The sequence below is a fragment of the Homo sapiens genome, chromosome 5 (assembly GCF_000001405.40).
Source record: "Homo sapiens chromosome 5, GRCh38.p14 Primary Assembly".
Taxonomy (NCBI): Eukaryota; Metazoa; Chordata; class Mammalia; order Primates; family Hominidae; genus Homo; species Homo sapiens.
In genome coordinates, this window is record NC_000005.10 from 56,328,325 (window position 1) to 56,352,545 (window position 24,221).

At 40.1% G+C, this 24,221-nt stretch overlaps 1 long non-coding RNA gene across 1 annotated transcript in view, besides 1 other annotated feature; it reads left to right on the plus strand.

Annotated features, from left to right (window-relative positions):
* The window catches only part of LOC105378977 (uncharacterized), a 54,627-nt gene extending 31,889 nt beyond the window's left edge, over window positions 1-22,738 (plus strand). The window contains exon 3 of the long non-coding RNA XR_948342.3: window positions 22,279-22,738. This is a non-coding gene — a long non-coding RNA (uncharacterized LOC105378977). The remainder of the gene's footprint in view (window positions 1-22,278) is intronic.
* Window positions 21,892-23,091: an enhancer, noted in NCBI's record as "CDK7 strongly-dependent group 2 enhancer chr5:55646043-55647242 (GRCh37/hg19 assembly coordinates)". NCBI's record gives its function as "activates an origin of replication core promoter dependent on BRD2, BRD4, P300/CBP, MED14 and CDK7 cofactors, with strong dependence on CDK7, by STARR-seq in HCT116 cells {active_cell/tissue: HCT116}" and the evidence as "EXISTENCE:reporter gene assay evidence [ECO:0000049][PMID:35650434]".

Here is a 24,221-nt window from a genome sequence, read left to right on the forward strand (position 1 = left end):
GTGTGTATGATTCATGTGTATATATATATATTCATATTAAAAGATCAATTAGTGTTAGCTTTTAAACTAATGTAAGAGTCTTTAGAAACAGGCAAACAGATTAGAAACACTTTTCTTCCTTTTTTACTTCCTTCCTTTTCTTTTTTCCTTCTCTTTGCTTTGTTCTTTTCTCTTTTTTTTTTTAAATACAGGCATAAATATAGAAGGGAGGATCATATATATGTGTGTGTGTGTGTGTGTGTGTGTGTGTGTGTGTATATATATATATATATGTATATGAATCATAGTTTGCCTTTTTGCTCCTCCACTAAATTGTTAGCTCTAAGAAGTGGGACATGTATGCTTTGTTCTCTGCAGTAAATTCAGTTCCCCAACCCCAGATATTCTGGGATTTGATTGGTCAGGGGTGGGGTGGGGTCTGAGCACCGGCCTTTACTGAAAGTTCCTCACATGGTTCTCATGTACAGCCAAGTGGAGACCTGTTTATCTAACCCACCTTCATCATTTTAAGAAGGAAGGAGCTGAGGCCCAGAGAGGTCACCTGACTTGGTCAAGGTCTCTTGGAGCTGGCTATAAGCAGATTGAGACAAGGACTCAGTTCTTTTAGGGCCTGGTCTCTTTGCACACTATAATGTCCCTTCACTTAAGTTGGAGAAGCTTTATCACTGAGTAGAGAGAGGTTTCTTTCATATTTTTGCATTCTTGGAGGATGACTAACTCATGCTTGTTAGCCTGGGACTTTCCAGGTTTTAGCGCTTTAGGTCCTGTGGGTCTCAGGTAAAGGAAACAAAAATATGCCACTCCAAAATATACTTCTTTGGTATATTTTGATATGACTATTCACAGGAACTGCAAACCACAGGAAAAGCTTTGAAAAGCTGTCTTTTGGGGAGGCGGGGAGATTTGCATCTGTAGAGGAAATCTACATTAGTGAAATGAAGTTAACAGCAGACACAAACAGGGTTTTATAAGGCCTCCCTTATCCAGACCTAGGAAAGATTAAATCACAGGAAAGAGGGACTAAAGTTCTGACACTTCAAAAGGTCTGACAGATAAAGTTTTACCACATAAGAGCAGGATACTGTCTGTTCTTTCCGAGGGCTGCTATCCATGGGGCTCTATCTGCATAACAAGATAGCCTTTGCTCACCATGCCTTTTCTCCCCTCTTCCTCCAATAACTTGTCTTGCCATGCCCCAAGCCTCTATTCCTTGCTGTATGGTATATAACCTTCAGCCATCTGGCTTTCCATTGAGTCTCATACTTTGTGTGTGGCTTCTGTGTCCATATGCACATTAATAAAATTTGTACACTTTTTTTTCCCTGTGAATCTGCCTATTGTTAGTTTGTTTTATAGACTCAAATTATTTAAACTTCAGAAGCAAGAGCGAAGGAAATTCTCTTCATCCCTACCCAGGCAAGCTGAGATGGTTGACATCACTGTTTGCACAATCACTAAGTCCAGGTTAGGAAAGAGAAGCAATGCCATACGGTGATTGAAACCCAAATTCTAAAGCTAGACTCACCTAGGTTTGAACCGTGACTTGTCAATTAGATGATGACCTCAGGCAAGCTTCAGTTTCTTTATGTGTAAGAAGGGAGAAATAATGTTGTATGCCTTAAACAGTTGTTGTGAAGATGAAATTAGCTAATATTTGTAAAGCACTTAGCACAAAACATTGTTCATAGTAAAAGATCAATTATGGTTAGCTTTTAAATTGATGTAAGAGTCTTTAGAAATGGATAAAATGATAGATATACTTTTCTCCCTTTTTTCTTTCCTTCCTTTTTCTCTTTCCTTCTCTTTGTTCTTTTTTCTTTTTAAAATGCAGGTGTAAATATAGAAGGGAGATGTGTTTCTGAAGGTCTAGCAATTGCTAGAGCACTAAAATACCTCTTTTTTTTTTTTTTTAACCAGCGCTCATTACTGTCTGTCAACTCTAAATGCCACCCAGACATTTCTAGGTAGTGCAATTTTGCCCTGCCAAGTGAAAGCATTTCATGACGCTCAATCATTAGGCAGCTATTTAAAACAATTTTCTTTCAGAGCTTCTCCTTCCCTTGGGCATTCATGCTGAAGACTCTGTCAAAGTGCCTATTTCCTGGAATCTGGCTATAGCAGACTTCCCAGAGGTTGGTACACCAGACTAATCATTTTTCTAAGGCAGCACTGGAGCCCTCAGGATACCAGTTGAATCTGATCCACATGGTAGCTCTGGGAACACAAAATGCTAATGATGTGGAACTTAGGCCACTGGTATTTATTCTATTGTTGTTTGCTTATTTATTTATTATCCGTGCAGGCCAACCAAAAGATAAATTTGGGACCAACCTCAAACAAGGTAATTGGAGTGTTCATTCAGTAGTCTTAGCTTACTTGTACTGGCCATCTTTATGTCTTTAGTGAGTCCATATTAGAAATGACGGTGTCTTTTTAGAAGGATGAACTAAGCAGAAATGTAGAAAAATCAGAATTTTTGAGATTCAACTTTGAAGACAACCTCCTCCAATTCCTTGGAGAGTATTTTGCTCATTTAATACTTGGTTACATTGTAACATTTTGCAACCCACCAGGAAATCACTCTAACAGTAACTGCTCGTCAAACAGTGACAAGAGGATTTGGGGAAGGCAAACAGCTGCAGATTCAGATGTGGGAGGGAGGTGGGCAGATGATGGGGGAATGAATCTTGAGTGTCCACATGCCAGGGAGAGGCTCAGCCAGGAATGACACTCCAGGGTGACTGACAGTCAATGAAACTTGCCATTCTAATCAGCAATAAAAAGGAATGAGCTGTTGCTATACACACAACAGGGATGGATATTAAAATAAATGTGCTGAGAGAAAGAAGCCAGACCAAAAAAAAAAAATAGTGCCTACTGCCTTTCATTTATATACAATGCTAGAAAATGGAAACTATTTCACTGTGACAGAAAGCAGATTAGTAGTTGTCTGTGACTGCACTGCCACCATTCAACCTGTTTCTTAGGTCAGTAATTTGGCATCACCTTGAATCTTCCTTCTCGCTCTCGCTCCTGGTGCCCATTGACTCAGTAGACAGGCCCTAAAGAGTCTACCTTGTAAATTTTGTTCATAATCACCCTTTTCTCACTGTTTTCATGGTCACTTTCTTAGGTCCAATCTTCATACATCTTTTCTATTTCTTATTTGTAGTAGTCTCTAAATGGTTTCCTTCCCTCTATTTCCTGCCTATTCTAATTTATCCTTCATACTGTTTTCTGAATAACCATAAAATATTTTCTATCTTTAAATATAAAAAACAAAATTATAAAATATTTAAAAAATCATTTAAAATGTGCATAGAATTACAAACACTTCAGTGCCTATAACCCAAGATTAAGGACTGTTCACATTTTGGAATTTGTCTTTTGTGTATTATTATAAAAGAAGCTTCTCTTTTAATGGAACCATCTTTGCTCTACTTCCCATCTTCTATGCCATGGGTGCTCCCCAGTTTCCAACACTGTCATATATTTGTATATATCTATTTAGCTCATGTTGCGTACTTCTAATAAATATATGTATTCCTGTTTAAAAATTAAATAAATGATATAATATTGTATATGTCATTCTGCAACTTGCTTTATGACAAGTGTTTGATAACTATGTGTGCTGATATAGATGAAGATGAAATTGACTCTATACTGCTATATAATATTCTTATTACATTATACATTATGCATTATCTTGTGGGTGGGGCATTTGTGCTGTTTCTAGTTTTTTGCTGTTAATAGAATTTAAAAAATAAATATCCTTGTGTATGTCCCTGTAGTGAACTGAATGATGGCCTCAAAGATATGTTCATGTCTAATGCCTAAAATCTGTGAATATCACCTTGTATGGTGAAAGATGTTATTAAGTTAAATATCTTAAGAGGAGGAGCTTAGTCTGAATTATCTGGGTGGGCTCTAAATACAATCACATGTGAGAAAGAGAGGCAGAGGGAAGTTCAATACCACACATACAGAAGAGAAGGCAATGTGAGCACAGAGCAGAGATGCAGCCATAAGCCAAGGAAAGCCAATAGACACCAGAAGTGAAAGAGACAAGGAATGCATTCTCCTCTAGGGCTTTTGGAGGGAGCTCAACCCTGCTTCACCTGCATTTCAGGCATCTGGCCCCCTGAGCTCTAAGAGAATAAATTGTTGTTGTTTTAAGCCAAACAAACTTGTGGTAATTTGTTATGGCGGCCACAGGAGCTAACACAGTCCTGCATTACATTGAACAGTAATTTTCCACGGATTTAAACTTATGAGTCACAGGGCATGTGCAGTTTCCACTTTACTTAAATATTTAGTGAGTGTGTTACTTGCAATTGCAAAAATATGGAGCCAGCCTAATTGCCCGTCAATTAACAAGTGGATAAAGAAAATGTGGTAGATATATACCATGGAATACCACTCAGCCATAAAAAGGAACAAAATAATGGCATTCACAGCAACCTGGATGGAATTGGAGACTACTGTTTTAAGTGAAGTAACTCAGGAATGGAAAACCGAACATCATATGTTCTCACTCATAAGTGGGAGCTAAGTTATGAGGATTCTAAGGCATAAGAATGATACACTGGACTTTAGGGACTTGAGGGAAAGGGTGGGAGGGGCATGAGAGATAAAAGACTACACACTGGGTACAGTGTACACAGCTCGGGTGATGGGTGCACAAAAATCTAAGAAATTGCTGCTAAAGAACTTACTCATGTAACCAAACATGACCTGCTTCCTAAAAACCTATTGAAATAAAAAAAAAATTTAAAAAATAAAATAAAATGAGCTAAAAAGAGTGCAAAATAAATTTAAAAAAGATATTTAGCAAGTATGTTAATATTTTATTTTACTTTATTTTATTTTTCGAGACATGGTCTCACTCTGTCACCCAGGCTGGAGTGCAGTGGCATGATCATGGCTTCCTGCAAACTTGACCTACTGAGCTCAACGATCCTCCCACCTCAGCCTCCCCAGTAGCTGGGACCACAGGTGCACACCACCACACCTGGCTAATTTTTGTATTTTTTGTAGAGATAGGGGTCTCACCACATTGCCCAGGCTGGTCTCAAACTCCTGAATTCAAGCAATCCTCCCACCTCATCCTCTCAAAGTGTTGGGATTAAAGGTGTGAGTCACCACTCCCAGTCATGAGTGTGTTAATTTACACTCACCAAAGCAGTGTGTGCTCCTTTCCATTTCCCACATCTTGGCCAATTGTTGATACTGTTGGACTTTAAAGTCTTTGCCAATCCAAAGTGTGTAAAGTAGTATTTCATTATTATTTTACTCACATTTCCCTTATTACATGTGAAGCCGATAATATTTTTGTATGATTGTTGGTCATTTAGATTTCCACTTCAGTGAGTTTCCTGTTCATAGTCTCCACCCATGTTTGTTACAACTTCGGTGGTCCTTTACATTTGTGAATACTAATCCTCAGTCTGTCACTTATGGTTCAAATATTTTCTGTAAGTCTGTAAATTGTCCTTTAAAAATGATGTATTTTGAGGGAGAGAAGCTCTACATTTTAATTAAATTTTTATCAAAAATTTCAATTAAAGTTTTATCAAAAGCTTAAAGATTTACCAAACCTGTTTTTTATAAGTCATACTTTTTTTGTCTTGTCTAAGAAATCATTCCCTACCTTCAATTCATGAAGATTTTCCTATTAAATGTATACACTGTCTTTAAGTCCTATTTTTCACATTTGATCTTTAATTTATTCAGAACTTTGTATTAGTCTGTTCTTGGATTGCTATAAAGAACTACCTGAGACTGGATAATTTATAAAGAAAAGAGGTTTAATTGGCTCATGGTTCTGCAGGCTGTACAGGAAACATGGCTGAGGAGGCCTCAGAAAACATACAGTTATGGCAGAAGGCAAAGGGGAAGGAGGCACATCTTACATGGCTGGAGCGGGAGAAAGAGAAGACAAGGGGGAGGTGTTACACACTTTTAAACAACCAGGTGTCATGAGAATTCACTCACTATCATGAGAACAGCAAGGAGAAAATCTGACCCCAAAATCCAATTACTTCACAGCAGGCCCCTCCTCCAAGATTGGGGATTACAATTTGACATGGGATTTGGATGGGGACACAAATCCAAACCATATTATTCTACCCCTGGCCCCTCCCAAATCTCATGTTCTACTCACATTGCAAAATACAATAATCCCTTCTCAACAGTTCCCCAGGTCTTAACTCATTTCAGCATTAACTCAAAAGTCCATCTGAGGTTGGGCATGGTGGCTAAAACCTGTAATCCCAGCACTATGGGAGGCCGATGTGGGCAGATCACCTAAGGTCAGGAGTTCAAGACCACCCTGGCCAACATGGCAAAACCTCGTCTCTACTAAAAATATAAAAATTAGACAGGCATGATGGTGGGCACCTGTAATCCCAGCTACTCAGGAGGCTGAGGCAGGGAGAATTGCTTGAACCCAGGAGATGGAGGTTGCAGTGAGCTGAGATCATGCCACTGCACTCCAGCCTAGGTGACAGAGTGAGACTCCTTCTCAAAAGAAAACCAAAAAAGCAAACAAAAACGAAAACAAAGTCTCATCTGAGACAAGGCAAGTCCCTTCTGCCTATGAGCCTGTAAAATAAAAAAACAAGTTAGTTACTTCCAAGATGCAATAGGGGTATAGGAATTGGGTAAATCCTTTCATCCCAAATGGGAGAAATTGGCCAAAGGAAAGGGGCTGCAGGCCCCATACAAGTCTGAAGCCCAGCAGGGCAGTCATTAAATCTTAAAGTTCTAAATCAATCTCCTTTGACTCTGTGCCTCACACCCAGGCCATACTGATGCAAGGAGTGGGCTCCCACAGACTTGGGCAGCTCTGCCTCTGTGGCTCTGCAGGGCTTGGCCCCCATAGCTGCTCTCAAAGGTTGGTGTTGTGTGCCTGTGGCTTTTCCAGATGCACAGCACAAGCTATCAGTGGATCTACCATTCTAGAGTCTGGAGGACAGTGGCCCTCTTCTCACAACTCCAGTGGGCAGTGCCTCAGTGGGGACTCTGTGTGTGGGCTCCAACCCCACATTTTCCCTCTGCACTGGCCTAGTAGAGGTTCTCCTTGAGGGCCCCACCTCTGTAGCAGACTTCTGCCTGAACATCCAGGCTTTCCCACAGATCTCTAGAGCAGGGGCACAATGCTGCCCAGTTCTTTGCTAACACATAACAAAAGTTACCCTTTCTCCAGTTCCCAATAAGTTCATCATCTCCACCTGAGTCCTCCTCAGCCTGGCCATCTCTGTCCATATTACTATCAGCATTTTGGTAAAAACCATTCAGCAAGTCTCTAGGAAGTTCCAAACTTTCCTTCCTCTCCCTGTCTTCTTCTGAGCCCCCCCAAACTGTCCCAACCTCTCTGCCTGTTACCCAGTTCCAAAGCTGCTTCCACATTTTCTGGTATCTATAGCAATGCCCCATTCCTAGGTACCAATTTTCTGTATTAGTTTGTTCTTACATTGCTATAAAGAGGTACCTCAGACTGGTTTATTTATAAAGAAAAGAGGTTTAGTTGGCTCACGGTTCTGCAGGCTGTATACGAAGCGTAGCTGGGGAGGCCTCAGGAAACTTTCAATCATGGCAGAAGGTGAAGGGGAAGCAGGCACATCTTACATGGCTGGAACAGGAGGAAGAGGAGAGAAAGGTGCTACACACTTTTAAACAACCAGATCTCATGAGAACTCACTCACTATCAGAAGAACAGCAAGAGGGAAATCCACCCCCATGACCCGGTCACCTCCCACTTGGCCCCTCCTTCAAGATTAGGGATTACAATTTGACATGAGATTTGCACAGGGACCAAATCCAAACCATATAAAACTTATTTTTTAGAATATTATGAAGTAGGAACATAACTTCACTTTTTTTCTATATGACAGTCACTTGTACCATTTTCTCACTGGTTTGTAATGCCACCTGGATCACATACAAATCACATAACTTGTGCTTTATGCGTCTCTATTTAGTTTTCTAATCTACTGATCCATATGCCTATGTCAGTGCCAGACTGTCTCAATGATTTAGATTTATATGTCAGGACTAGCCTCCTTCTTAGTGTTCTCTTTTTTGAACGTTGTTTTGTCTATTCTTGAACATTTAAACTTCCAAATGAATTTTAGAATTGTTTAGTTTCATTATATATTCTCCTGCTTCTTTCATCAGAATTGCATTGAACTTACAGGTTAATTTTTGGAAAATTTACAGGCTTACAGCACTGAACCTTATCATTATTTAGTAAGGCAGATTAAAATCAAAGTATGTCTGTAGCTATTACATTGTGAATAGCACAAAAACTTTGAGGAAAATTCTTCCATAGTTATTCCATAAGTATTATCTAATTCAGCAAAGACATCATTCCCTAATGAATGCCCACAACACATCTTCACAGTTTCACTTTGTTAACATAATAAAAATATCAACCAACATTCCTATCAAAACTATACGCATTCATCATTGGTTGGCTACAGAAACAAGAACTCAGCAAAAAAGCAATGGAAGTATTCTGTGAACATCAATTGGCTTTATCCAATTTATAATAAAGAGCTTTATATATCTTATTATTATTTATAAATTATGTGATACAGAACCTTTATATTAGAAAATATAATAAACTTTTGTATAAATACTTTTAATATATTTTTAATTTCTTAAAAATATATTGATAGTCTTCCCCCACCTCCCCAGCCAGAAAGCTGTTTGTTAAATATTTACCAGCACACCACTGGCTCTAGCCCTCACCAGTATCTACATACCCTTGCAGAAGGCTACTCTGCTCCCACGACAAAAGTGCCAGAGGGTGCCCCTCAGGTACAGATTATCTGAGAGGCCTCATGAAAAGTGCCCTGTTATGGTTGTTAAACATTTACCAGCACACCAATGGTTCTATCCCACTCCCCAAGGTAGCAGCTCTCAACCAATGACAGAAAGAGTTGATGTATAAATACCTCAGTTCCCTCACCCTCAGATGGGTTGAGATAACTCTGATTTATGTTTTACACTCTTTCCCAGAGCTTCCCTAAGAGATTAAGCTCCAGTCACCCCAAGTAGGAGCTGGCCTGATAACACACCCTTTATTGTCTTCTCTTTCATTTTACTTCTTCTTTTCCCACTGATGTCTTCTCCCAAATCAACCTGTGCTTGAATTCTTATCTGTTCAAGACCACTGGATCTATAATTCGTATATCCTTTCAATCTGATTAAAAGTATCAAAAAAGGCTGGAAGGTAGAGATTGGATTTTGTGAAGAGGGCAGTTTGGAGAGAGTTGTTCCTATGCTCTAAGCTCCACTTGCCAATAAGGGAGAGGAGAGGACAGAGAGAGAGAGAGAGAGAGACAGCATGTGTGCAATTTTTCTCAACTCAAGGGTATGAGAATATGTACTAGTTTCCCAGGGTTGTCGTAACTAAATACTCCAAGTTGGGAGGCTTAAAACAACAGAAATTTATTCTCTCACATTTCTGGGTGCTACAAATCTGAAATGAAAGTGCTAGCAGGGCTAGTTCTTTTTGAGAGCTCTGAAGAAGAATCTGTTCCATGTCTGTTTCCCAGCTTCTGGTGATGGATGGCAGTCCTTGGTATTCCTTGGCTTGTAGATGAATCACTTCAATTTCCTGCCTTTGTCTTTGTTTCTCTCCTTCTCCTCCTTCTCCTTCTCCTCCTCCTTTCTGTTCCTCCTCCCCCTCCCCCTCCTCCTCCTGCTCCTTCTCCTCTTCCTCCCCTTTGTCCTCCTCCTCCTCCTTCTGTCTTCTTCTTCTTCTTCCTCCTCCTTGTCTTCTTCCTCTTCCTCCTCCTCCTCCTTCTTCTTCCTCTTCTTCTTCCTCCTCCTCTTCTTCTCCTTTCTCCTCCCCTCCTCGTCCTCCTCCTCTTGTTCTTCTTTTCCTTCTTCTTCTTCTTCCTCTTCTACTCCTTCTCCTCCTTCTTCTTCTACTCCTTCTCCTCCTTCTCCTTCTTCGTCTGTTCTTCATCGTCGTCTTCTCAATCTCCTCCTTCTTCCACCACTCGTATTGGAAAAAGAGCCCACCATACTTTAGTGTGACATCATCTTAAGTAATTGAATCTGCAATAATCCTACTTCTAAATAAAGTCACATTCTGAGGTACCGGGGTTAGGACTTTAGCATATCTTTTGGCGGGACATGATTCAACCCATAATAGGACGTTTTTCATGAGCTCTCTCAGAGCTCCGAGTGGTGATGCCTCCCTCATGCCCAGGGAAAGCTAACTAGTGGTGTTAGGGCAGAAGCAGTGACGATAGGTTGGACCTGCACTCACAGAGTGGGAACAAAGGTTGTATGAATATGCCCCATGGACTAGCCAGTGGGCCCTGGCTCAGGTTCTGTCCAGTAAGATCACGTACATGGCTGGAGGGACCCTGGCAAGTAGCTCAAGGTAAATGCTGAATGTCTGAGGACTTAGGAAGGATTTGCAAATGATGATAAGAATAGGGTTACATCTGTCTGAATTAAGAAAACATAGGGAGGAATCCCCAGGGACATAAACATCCAAATAACCCATGAAGATGCCCTATAAGACAGAGTCAGCTTTAACTATATGCTGAGAAGCAAACATACAATGTTATCTGGCAAAGTTAGAACTGGTTTATTCTTTTAATTCTCTCTCCCATATCTTTTTTCATCCTGGTTGGGGCAGAAACCATAACTAATAAATGGGGGAGAAGTGGGGATGCAGAGAGAGTTGAAGTCAATCACACCCATGTTGCCAGAGGCAGGTGGCTATTAATCAGGCCTTAGCATGATGAGCACAGAGAAGTTCCACCTTTCAATGAATTTTAAAGCCTTTGAAAGTAGCTTGGACTAGACTTTTTAATTTCCTAATAGGGATTATGATTAGAAACTTAGAGGGGCTTTAAGATCATCCCTTGCCTACAAATGAGTAGGCAATGAAATCATGATTTCGGATCTTATGTGTTTCATGAGCAGGAGAAAAGTACCACACTAAATAAATTTGGAAGAGTCATTTGTACGGAAAAATAAAGTTGTCTATGATTACTTCCCATAAGTTATGCAATCAACATGTTACATGTTATCCTCATCTCCCTCCACTCCTTAAATCCCTCTTCATTCAGTCATACCGAGTTTCTTACATTTCCTCAAACCAACCCCACTGTTTGGTTACTCCATACTTTTGAGCATACTGATCTCGCTGCCTGTAGCATCCTCCTTCCTTCTTCCACTTCTAGCTAACTAATTCCTATATAATCTTTCAATACATTGTCTCTTCAACATCACCTTCTCTGAGAACCATTCTTTTAACCTCCTCCTTTCCACCCATATTTAGATGCATACTCCTACATAACAAATCTTATCACACAATTGTTGATTTCACATGTGCCCCCACTGTTCTGTGTATCCTTGAGAGCCTGAAATAGGTCTTATGATGTTCTTGGTGCTTAGCACAATGTCTACAACACAGTAGGCATTCAGTAAATAACTACCAATGGTGACGGTGGGGGTTCGCAGGGAACAGATTAGGAACCAATTCTCAGGATTTTCCTGGGAAAGTCCCACATTTCTGGAGCAGAGTACGAGACTTCTGAAAGGTGTGAAGCAGCCTGTGAGTCAGAAGAAACATCACTGGGCTTGCAGAGAGCAGCAGAACGTGGAGCTACTCATAGACCATGTAGACATGGCACACTCAGGAGTGCCATCTTTGAATCCTGCAGGACTATAAGGAGCTCAGAGATGACCATCAATTTTTTTGAGGTTCTCTGGAAGTTGGGTGGCAGATGGAAAGAGCTAGTGCTTTGTAACCATTGCCAAAATTTTTGTTGACTTGAATCTGAGTGCATATGAGATGGAATGATGGAAAGCCAAAAGGATAAAGAAAATTTAAATAAATGTGTCAGGCACAATGCTTAGCACACTGCTTGACTTAGAGAGTTAAGAACTCTAAGAGTCCTAAAGAAACAATAAGCTTCTCAATAGAAATTTAACGTAAGGAAATCTGCTAACCTAGAACATGAGAAAGCAGACAAAGAAAAATGTGAAAATCCACACACACACACACACACACACAGTTTGTATCAGCATTTCATCACTGCCTGTCATGAGTAAGTGTTGCTTTCTTGACTGTTCCTCTAAGAATGACTCTCTTCTTAATGTTTATAATAAAATGTAGCAATAATAAAACATAATGAAAGATAAATGGGTGTATTTTTAAAAGTAATGATACAAAAGAGAGTTTATGGTGCATGGCAGGCCATTTTTCGTACTAAAAGGGGCCAAATTTATCCACATAAAACATGATCTTGTTCACTGCTTTTTCTGTGGAGTAAAAGCCATTTAAAATGTATTTCCTTCCCTTAACTCTTTCAGACTTCACCTCTTGTCTTTGTTCGACCCTGGATATTAACAATCAGCTTATTGTTGGTCTTACTGGAAGGTGAACCACTTCCCCCTGGGGAGATCCTACCTCATGGGAAGCTCACTGTGCTGTATTTTTTTAGGAAAAATCTCAGAGTCTTCATTTTGGGCCTTGACATGAAACAGAGAATAGTGTATTTAGGATCTGAAAGACCAGAAGCAGCAACCCTTAAGGGAGATTCTTTCAATGGTAATAGAACAGAAAGAGTCATAGAGCTGGACCTTAGTATTCTTTTCTGGGCCTTCCTTTCTTAGATTGATGCCTGGTGAGGAGGAATTATTATTTGTTTCCACACCACCAATTTTTCCCATTTCTACTCTCCCTTCTCCAGCTGACTACTGGAAGCTGAGCCATTTATTAGATTGGTGGGTTTTTTTTTTTTTTTTTTTTTTTGCTTATATCGATGATGAAGGAAGTTAGAACATACTTGCTACATACATAAGCTTAATAACAAAACTCATAATCATCACCAATTTTATCTTCATAAAAAAGAAACATTCTAATAGTCTCTCTCATTGAACATTTGCTGTGTCCTAGTGCTGTCGGAAGAATTTTATACACATCGCATTTAATACTCACCACAACTTTGTGAAATAGGTAACCTACCTTCCTTCCTTCCTTCCTTCCTTCCTTCCTTCCTTCCTTCCCATCTTTCTTTCTTTCTTTCTCTCTCTCTCTTTCTTTCTCTCTCTGTCTCTTTTTCTTTCTCTCTCTCTCTCTGTCTCTCTCTCTCTTTCTTTCTTTCTCTCTTTCTTTCTTCTCCAGCTTCTGTATCAAGAACAGGTGATACTGTTTTCAGTATGCACACAAAGGAAGTTGGGATATAGGAGGCCTGCACGACTTGCCCAAGGTCTCAGAGTGCAGAAGAGGCAGGGTGAGTACCAAAGCCCATGCTCTTCACCTCTGTGCTTACATTCACACTCAGCACCTTTCATTGTTGATGGCTTTGTACTTTGAGAACTTTTAGTGGTAGCATTTTTAACCCCAGATCTAATTTCTTGGCCACCCAGAAGCAAATAGGTGTCCAAAAACTTAAGGTTGTTCTAAGAAAGGTATAATTATGATGGTAAGCCTGTTTTTTTTTTTTTAAGTAAGCCATTCTTAAAAAAATGAGCCATTCTTGCCCTACCTACAAGTTACTTGTGGAGAGCTCACTCTCTGTAATTTTAATTCTACATTTTCTGTTCCTCAGAGTTGCTTTTTAGAAAAGTCTTTATTTGGAAGTACTAAATTGAAGGGGAAAAAGTCAATGTGCTTTTAAAGGTAGATTGTCCAGATTGATTTTTAAATTTTATTCTAGTTCTATTTTTGAACATCATTTAGTAACAAAATATTAGTTGTATCCTTGATAATAGAGAATAAATTATAAGTCCTATACTCCCTGAAATAGACCTCACTGATAAAAAGTCAATTCGAGCCCATTTACAAGAACATAAAAAAGTATATATTTAACAAAAGTGTACAATACTTGTATACTGAAAACAATAAAATATTGTTCAGTCAAAATAAAAAAAGACCTAAATCAATAGAGGGATATATTATATTTATGGATTAGAAGATTCAATATTGTAAATATGCCAATTAGTCCATAACAGAGGTCAAAAACCTATGGCCCATGGACCAAATGGAGCCCACTGCCTGCTTTTGTAAATAAAGTTTTATTGGAACACAGCCATACCCTAAAACATGATCTTGTTCACTGCTTTTTCTGTGGAGTAAAAGCTATTTAAAATGTATTTCCTTCCCTTAACTTACATATTACCTACGGCTGCTTTTGCTCTCAAAACCTAAAATATTTATGATCTGACTCTTAAATGAAAAAGTTTGTGAATTCCAGATCTGTGCATTAACATAGTCTCAGTCAAAATCCTTATGACTTTTTTTTTGTGTAGAAACTGACAAGCTGATTCTAAATTTGCACAGAAATGCAAAGAACCTAGAATAGTTGACAGTCTTGAAAAAGAACAATCTTCGAGAACTAATACTGTCATTTTTAAACTTAAGCTGGGCTGCTTAGGGCCCTGTCATCCAGTGGTGTTTTTCTAAGCTGTGTTTCTCCTCCTTCATGCTCCTAACCTTTGAGAAAGTCCCAGCTCAGAAGACTCATTTCCTTCCTGAGTTTGTATGAGGAGAGGAGACAAATCTTCACTGCACAGCTCCTGGGACATAATTCAGTTCTGATGAAGGGCTGCAGGCAGGTGAAGGTGGAAGAGAGCAACTTGCCTTACTAAAACTCGGTGCCCTCTAAGGAAGGTTGGTACAGATGAGTGCTCTGGGCAAAGCCTTTCGTAGGATGATTTGTGGGCCAAACAGGTCCCTGACTAGAGTGTCCCTCTCCCATTGGGGTTCTTCCACTTTGACCTCCTCTGTTACAACCATTTATGACCCCATTGCTTCCGCTTTCCCTCTAGGGCTCAAGTGTGGGCAAAATCAAAACCCCTTTCTTTTCCTTGTTTGTATTACCTCCCGTATCTCCCAAGATCCTCTACCCAATTAAGTCCTCTGGCCTCAAAACAAAGTAGTAAATTGATGAACTTTCTTATTTCATATTTCAGAAGAGGCAAAAGGGCCTCTTCTGAAAGCAATGGAATATAAAAATCAGCGTAATCAAGGAAAATATAAAACCCTGATTGACTGATTTATAAAACCCAGCTTTCTGATCTGATTTTGCCAGAATTATTAACAAGACACTCCATTTCTGTTTGACCCATATTTTTTCTCTGATCTGTGTCATCTCCAGGTAGTTTTCCAATACTTAGAAACTGATGTAGCTCTTCCCGGACATTTCTCAGTATTTTGCCCCATCTGAGGACTGGCACCCAATGCCTTAAAAACTAAACTTTTTCATGACTCAAACTCCCAGATATCGTAGAGTCTGCCCTTACTTCAAGGTCCATTTGGAGCAACAAGCCTAGTGCATAAATTACTTAAAGCATAGTGGTGGTTGACACCTTCCATTCCCAGTCATTACCTAGCTTTGTCAGTATGATACGGTAGCTACGGTGAAATGGTTCTGAAGCCAGTCACCCTGGGTTCAAGTCTTAGTTCTACCTTGGCTAGCTCTACAACTTTGGGCAAGTTAGTTAACCTCTCCCTGCCTCAGTCTTCTCATCAGTAAAATGAGGATAATAATAGTGCCTACCTTGTAAAATCCTACCTTGGAAGGTCATGATGAGTATCCATTGGGAAGATAAACAAAATAGAATTAGGAATCAAGACTTATTTGCCACTTAAAAAATATCATTAATTCTTTCCAAGCCTAGTTTATCAGTTCTGCCCACTTTGGAGTTAACACTGAATAGGTGAGGAGGCAGGTTACTTCTGATAATACTCAGTTGTGTAGGGAGAGGGCCTATCCCCAGAAGAAGTAGAGAATAATCTGAATACGAGGTGGGCAGCGTGATGAGCAGAGAACAGTCTGGTCACATCACTAGAGGTATCCTCTTCAGACATGGTAATAATGCTGTGGAAATGTTTCCCCTGCACTGTCTGGCTCACTGTCTAATCAAGTCTCCAAAGAATGGAAACTGAGTCAACTTTTCCTTGTTGTGTTGCTGTATCTTTTCCCCTCTCCAAAGAGAGGAAGCAAAGCCCTTTATCTACTTGGAAACTGTGTCTTAGGTACTTTACAGATTTTCTTTCTCTAAGGAGATCTGGTTATCATCCCCTTTCATCAAATTTATGATACTCCTCTGAACTCTCTCCAAGTACTGCATTTTCTTCCATGCTGTGGACCACAGCTGGATGGGATGCTCTCCCCAGGGTCTCACAGTGACCATGTTAAAAAGGCTGTTCCTGTCCCACGAAGCCTCCTTAGCATCCCATTTGGTGCCCAGTCTAACTGTAAGTATACATCACTCCTGAGTTTTTCTATCTTATTTTCTGATATTCAAGTACTTGTATATTAAATCATTTGAAAAATGTCTATCATGATTACAAAGCCTGTTTTGCTATTTCAGAAAAATTTATTGTGTTCCAGTGGACGTATCTGCTGTTGAAAACAGAATTCTCCACTCTGAGGATGAACCACAGGGGGTCATAAAAATTGCATTCTGCAGTGTTTTTTCTATTTTCTATTCATGCATGTCTTCCTGATTTAGAAATTATTCAAATTTCCCAAAGAGGAAATGATTTTAAATAAAATGGTTAAAATATTCTAATGTAGTCATATTTCTGTTAGGGTTGAATGAATGTTAAAAACAGGAGTTTCAAGCATCTAAAAGTGAAGGTATAGACAGAAAAACTAAAGTGTAAGAGGGAGAGGAAGGAAGCACTGTGATTTCTACTCAACACATGACCATTCAGGCTATTCAAGAAGTAATAGGGTTTTAGATGACCCATAAATATGAAAGATAGACTGATGGGGAAAAGGGCCCAAGGTATGGTAGTGGGATGCAGACATCTCTTTACCTAACCCTGTCTTTGCTGTTAGAGTGCCTTCTACCAGGGAAGGCTTCCTTTCTCCAGCAGTAAAGCTTCTTAACGAAAGCAGTTTGGATATGGAAACGTATGCCCATTTGCGATCTCAAAAAACAAAGTGGACATAAAACATACTATCAGTATTATTTTCCTACTACTTCAGCATGAAAAAAATTATTATTTTTGAAGTTTCACTGCTTCAGAATCAAAAGGGCTGAAAAACATAATTATTGACACATAAAAAAAGAAATTCCTAACAACCTGTCTTAATCAGGTTCTGCTAGCAGTTGTAACAAATAACCTCTAAATCTTGGGACTTTAGAAAAAGTTTCTTTCTTTCTCTCATCACAGGGCAGTGCAGGTCTCTGCTGTGGTGGGTGGGCAGGGCAGTTCTCCTCTACAGTCATTCAGGCTTCTTACACCTTGAGGTTCTGTCACCTTTCAGTACCCTGGAGTCCTCCTACTTCCCCTGCATCTGGCTGGCAGAGAGGAAGGGAGAGGGAGGGAGTGGAGGATTGGGCTTGGCAGCAGTGTCCATTGTTCCCACCAATATTCTTCTGGCCTAACTGCAAGAGAGACTGGGAAATATAATTTAGCTGTGTGCTCAGAAAGAACAGGATATAGGTTTGATAAGTATTCATCCAGTCTCTGTCATATAATCTAAATTAAAGATCACATATTAGCAGCAGGCAAGCTAAATGTTGTCCACAGATGCGTTTCCTTTTGGCCTGCATCAAGTGGTTTAAAAAGTCAATTTTGTTCAAAAACTTTAATATGGGAAGATTTCACACTTAAAAATAAAAAGAAAATCTAGTATTTTTGGTTCCTTTCAACAAATCAGAAAATCTTGTGGGCCTGCCTTTTCTTTTGTCATGAAATGGCTGAAATTAAGTAGCAGCTGCCCCTTAGCTTAGGTCTACAGTCTCCAGTTCACCCTTGTTGGGGCTCAGAAAATGATACCCCGAAATATGGTGCTCTGATATGCTGAACTAAAGTGTACTCATCTGATGGGTTCTTCCTGTTTGCTGCACAGGCAAAACCAATTCACTGAGACCATGGTATTGCAGTAAAGAAACAGTTTAATTAATGCAAGACTGGCCATGCAAGAGAACTGGAGTTATCACTGGAATCAGTCTCCCCAAAGGCTCAGAGATTAGGGTTTTTATGGTCAATTTGGTGGGCAGGCGACTAGGGAATGGGTGCTGCTGACTGATTGAGGATGTAATCATAAGCATGTGGAAAATGATCCTGTGCATTGAGTCTGCCTCTGGGTGGGTGCAGGGGTTATGGGACCAGTTGAACGATGAGTCATGAGTCTTGGTGGGGTCAGTCAATTGCCGGAATGCAACAGTCTATAAAACATCTCAAAAGACCAATCTTAGGTTCTATAATAGTGACCTATAGGAGCAATTGGGAAAGCCACAAATCTTGTGACCTCTGGCCATCTGACTCCTGAATAGTAAGCGATTATAGAAACTATGCATACATTTTAGCAGAATTTGGGCCCCTCCCATAATAGTAATCTTGTAGCCTTTCATCAGTTTTACAAAGGCAGTGTCAGCCCCCAAACAAGGAGGACGCAGTTTAAGAGAGGGAGTATTATCATCCTTGCTTCAAAGTTAAACCATCAACTAAATTTCTCCCATGGTTAGCTTGGCCTATGCCCAGGAATGAGTGAAGACAGCCAGCCTGGGAGGCTAGATTGGGCCAACCATGCTGGACTTCTCTCACTGTCATAATCTTTGCAAAGGTGATTTCAAAAGTCATAGCCTCAAGGTCTCTATGATCCTCTTCCTCCCCCTCAACCCTGCCCTGTCTCTCAGCCTTATGTCTCTCCCAAAGCACAGGATGAGGCTTTACTCTGATATTCCCTTATCTACTTTAAGACCAGACTTGCCAAAGGAAACACAGTTGCCTTCCATCCCCTCCCTAAAATCCAGAAAATAAGATTGAGAAATGCAATCACACTTGGAAAGACTTTTTCACAAGATAATGTCTGCGCCTCTGGCTCATTCAAATTATGAAGAGAATAATTTACAAGTTAATTTCTGTCTCCCATACTGCCCTTCAAAAAATCATTTACTACTCCTTAAAATTGTTACACCCCATCTCTGCTTCCCTTAGGAAGAAGGGCATATAAGCATCTAGACCTCACTGGGTTATTGAGCAATCATTCTGCGGTTTCCATGTGCTATGCATGTTAAATAAGCAGCATGCCTTTTCTCTTACTAATCTGTTTATTGTCAGTTCATTTTCAGCAAACCTTCAGAGGGTAGAAGGGAAGCTTTCACCTGGCCCTTACACCCTGAAGCCTGTTTCAGTCACTCATTTGCCTGGCCTTTGGAGATGCTTACACTTGCATTCTCTGGTCTGCATGATGATTTATTCTTTTTTTTTTTTTTTTTTGAGACAGAGTCTTGCTCTGTCTAACAGGCTGGAGTGCAGTGGCACGATCTCGGCTCATTGCAACCTCCGCCTCCCAGATTCAAGTGATTCTCCTGCCTCAGCCTCCTGAGTAGCTGGGACTACAGGCGCCCGCCACCACGCCAGGCTGATTTTTGGTATTTTTAATAGAGACAGGGTTTCTCCGTGTTAGCCAGGATGGTCTCTATCTCCTGACCTCGTGATCCGCCCCCCTTGGCCTCCCAAAGTGCTGGGATTACAGGCGTTATTCTTTTTTATAGTCTAGATCTTGTCATTAATATGTCAATACCAACAATTGACTGCTATGGATTGATTCAGTGTGTATTTGTTAGATTATGTTTTAGATCATAGTGAAAACCACTTGCCAACCCTGAAACTCTCTTTTTCTGTAGAAGTAATGGCTAATGTCCAATTATGAATGAATTGAGATGTTTTACTTTTAGCCTAATTGTATGCTTAGTCATAATTTATATTCTGAACTAAAATGGTAATCTATCAGAAATACTGTTGAATGTGAAAATTTTTCTTTTTTTTTCCTAGGATTAATAATGTTTGCTGGGCTTGTAATTTTAAGATCCTTTTTATGGACAAAGATCTTAAGCAAACAGGATGATCCTTAGGTTGACAGCAGAACAGTTAATGGAGACGTACTCTACTACTTTGTTGTTGACCACTGGCTATTTGGGGAACAGTGTCAGGTGGATTTGGCATGGCTATTAAAATAATCAACTTAAATAAAAAATACATCCCAATATAATTCCCTTGTAGTTCTTTTAGTTGGATTTGAAACTGTTCCACAACTGAAATTTGGAAAATCAAGTTATATTGAAGGTGGAGGGAGGAATGGTTGGCTGAATTTAAATGACAGATTTAATTGTTTTGTTTTGTTGGAGAATACTGTCTATAAATGTCTAAGAATTTGGTGTTAGAAGTTTGTACACTATTCTAAAAAGAAGGAAATAGAGGATCAAACTTACAGTTAACAAACTATTTGCAAAGAAAATATCTCTTAACACCCTAGAAAGGCAAAGAAAATTAATGTGAACACACCTAAGGGCAATTAACACTTATAAAATGAAAGTACATTATATTGACAGCTTTATCTTTTTTGTTTGCTTTTTTTAAAAAATGAACAGAGCTTGAAGTGTTAATTTTAAAAATCAGGGCTGGGCACAGTGGTTCATGCCTGTAATCCCAGCACTTTGGGAGGTCGAGGCGGGTGGATCACGAGGTCAGGAGATCTGAGACCATCCTGGCTAACACGGTGAAACCCCACCTCTACTAAAAATACAAAAAATTAGCTGGGGGTGGTGGTGGGCGCCTGTAGTCCCAGCTACTCGGGAGGCTGAGGCAGGAGAATGGCGCGAACCCGGGAGGTGGAGGTTGTAGTGAGCCGAGATCGTGCCACTGCACTCCAGCCTGGGTGACAGAGCGAGACTCCATCTCAAAAATAAATAAATAAATAAATAAATAAAAAAAATAATAAAAATCACCTGAGGGTATTTTAATGTTTCTGGTAAAATTACTGATGCTCATGATGGCAGCCTTTCTGGCACTTTTCAGTTTACATGTTTGGATTTGTAGTCATGCCTTGCTTAACTATGGGGATACGCTCTAAGAAATGCATCATTAGGCGATTTTGTCGTTGTGTGAACCTCATACAGTGTACTTATACAAACCTAGATGGTATAGCCTACTATACATCAATATCAAAGCTATATGGTATTGTGTATTGCTCCTAGACTACAAACCTGCACAGCATTTTACTGTACTGAAAACTGTTGGTCATTGAAACATAACAGTACCCAAATGGCATTTGTGTATCTGAACATATATAAACATAGAAAAGGTAAAAATACAGTGTTATTATCTTATGGGGTCACCGTCATATCTGTGGGGTCACCGTCATATTATATGGGGTCACGGTCTGTCAGTGACCAAAATGTCATTATGCAGTGCATAACTATACATACAAGTGACATAAATTCTGTGGAGAGAAGTTTTAAGCACATTTGTGAAACAAGCTACAGAAGAACTTTTGTTTTACATTTTTATTGTGTATTTGGATGAGGGGAATAAACTGCTGACATAATTTGCTGATGATTCAGAATTGGCTATCAGCAGAATTATAATCCTGGCGAAGATGGAGGAAAAAATATAGAGAGACCTCCTGTGACAAAAAATGAGTGGAAAATTGTCACAAAATCACTTTTGGTGGTGAGGGGTAAGGGGATTGCCCCTGGGGAAAAATAAGTCATTGGATCATGCGGGTTGAGAGAGGCCGAATGAAGAGCACCTGAATGCTCTTGGCTGTCTTACCCAGCCCCAAATCCTCACTCAACACCCAGAAATGGGAATTATCTCCTTGCCAAGATGGGGAAACTGAGTCTCAGATGGATCGACAAACTTGGCAAGGTCTATAAGCAAAATAATAGAGGATGTAGGAATTCAAACTCATGGCTTCCAGGCACCAAAGTCCTCACTGAGAAAAACAGGGTGAACATAGAAAAATGACACTCTGAGAGAGAGACCCATTGAAAAGAAGTGGACAGTGAGCTTGGGTTTTAAATGTGATTCACTGACCAGCTGACTGAGAGGAAGTTTCAAAAGGTCTGTAGCACAGTGGGCTGAGGGACACTGCAATTCTTCTCCCTTCAACTCCCAGAGACTAAGTCCAGCAGTATGGGCTTCAACCAGGGGCACTTTGGTACCAGAAGGATACAGGCTGGACAGATTCCAATAGAGCAATAAAAAGAGTAAAGGAAACAGAGATTTATCTGTCGAAGGATGCATGAGTCCAAGCACTTGTAGCTTGCATTAATGGGGAGGAGAGGACGATGGATGGCAACTCTTTGAAGTGTGTGTCTGCATTTAAGGAGTGATTAGCTTATAGCAGGAGTACATCCAGGAGTGGGAAGTGACGAAATGTGGATGAGAAACCTCTAAACTGATAGCAGAAAATGGTTTTTGGAAGAGTTACAGGGCAACTCCTTGAGGCTCTGATGTTTTTCACTTTTCCTGACTCACTTGTTTTCCAGGAGTCCCAGTGTCTCCTGAGGAAATCCCTTTCCCATTCAGCCGGCAGCTGCAGCAGGTGGGATGGGCCAGACCAGCCCTCTGGGGATGCTGATCCCAGGGAGCATCCAGGCCGGAAGGTCCAAACGGGCAAGTGACTCATTTGCTTTTCCTCCCTTGGTCATGTCTATGACTCATACACTTTCATTCAGTCCCAAGTATGAGAAAGGAACATCAAAAAGTCCAAGATGTTATCAAATATTTGATGAAAAAGAAAATTCCCCTCTCATATGACCCTTACAGAAAATGTTTATTTAGTCTTTTCATTTTGTTGACATTTCTTTGATTTATCAACATTGAGAAGGTACAGTGAGGAGAAGGAAGGCTGTTAAGTGAGACAAAGGAGGGTTAGGATGGCTCAGTCATTGCTCCCCCGAGGGAGTGATCTAAGCTGCTCACCCACAGACAGAAAGGGTAAATGGGCTAGCTCTTCATTAATAAGAAAGGACTCTTCGTTTGAGTAAGTGAGGAGTATTTACAGTGCTGTGTTTGTAATCACATGGTGCCTGTGTATAGATGGCTGGGAGACAGGATAAAGGGATGGGTGATTTAAAAGCATCAACTTTGGTATCAGATGGATCTGGAGTGGAATTATGGATCTGTCACTTATTAGCTGTGCAACCTTCAGCAAGATCCTTGAGTGCTCTGAGACTTAGCTTTCAGATCTATAAAATAACAATTATAAAAAAATAGCAGCAATGATAATGCCAACATGTCTATCATTGAGCTTCTACTTTGTACCAGACATTGATCTATGGATTTTACATATATTATCTCATTTTATCTTTCCAACAAACCAAAATATGGGTAGTACTATTGTCCGCATTTTATAGGTGTGGAAGCCGAGTCACTGAGGGCTGAAGGAACTTGCTCAAGGTCACGCAATTAGAAAGGAGCAAAATATCTTCCTCCTCAGATTGTTATGAGGCTTACTCAAGGTAAAGCAGCTAAAGAGATTAGTTCCCTGTAAATGTACAACAGTATATATGCTTACTTTTTCTTTTTCAAACTAAAGACAAGGAAGGGGGAATTCCCTTTCTAATTGTCCCAATTGCTATCTCCTTTTTTTTTTTTTTTTTTTTTTGAGATGGAGTCTCACTCTGTCGCCCAGACTGGAGTGCAGTAGCGTGATCTCGGCTCACTGCAACCTCTGCCTGCCAGGTTCAAGCAATTCTCCTGCCTCAGCCTCCAGAGTAGCTGGGACTGCAAGAACATGCCACCATGCCCAGCTAATTTTTTGTATTTTTAGTAGGGACGGGGTTTCACCATGCTGGTCTCGAACTCCTGGTCTTGTGATCTGCCCGCCTCGGTCTGCCAAAGTTCTGGGATTACAGGTGTAAGCCACAGTACCCGGCTGCCATCGACTTTTTTAAATAAGTAAGTGATTCTCTCTGCTATCAACGTCTGCTATCAATGCACAAGTAATTCACAGTATTCTTTATTTTTTAACACAAAGTTTTCAAAATTCATAGAGATTATTTGTAAGACAGCTGTGAGCAACATCTGATACTAGGCTAGGACATATCCCTCCGCTTTGTTCAAGAAACTGCTCTATACTTTTAATCAACTAAAATAAACATGTGGAAACCATTGAAAGCTTATTTTCTGTGAACTCGTTCACAAATATAGGGGCATACTTCAGAGTAAAATATAATATCTTCTCTACACATGCATCACGCAAACATGCATGCATGCACACACACACAACGTAACTCAGATGTTCAAACTGCCTTTGAAAGTGGCGTTGAGCAAAGCTGTCTTACCTAGTAGTGTTGCTATTCATCTTGGTTGGTGTATTAGACTGTTCAGGCTACCATAACGAAATACCACAGACTAGGTAGCTTAAGCAACAGAAACTCACTTTCTCACAGCACTGGAGGCTGAAAAGCCTCAGATCAGGGTGCTG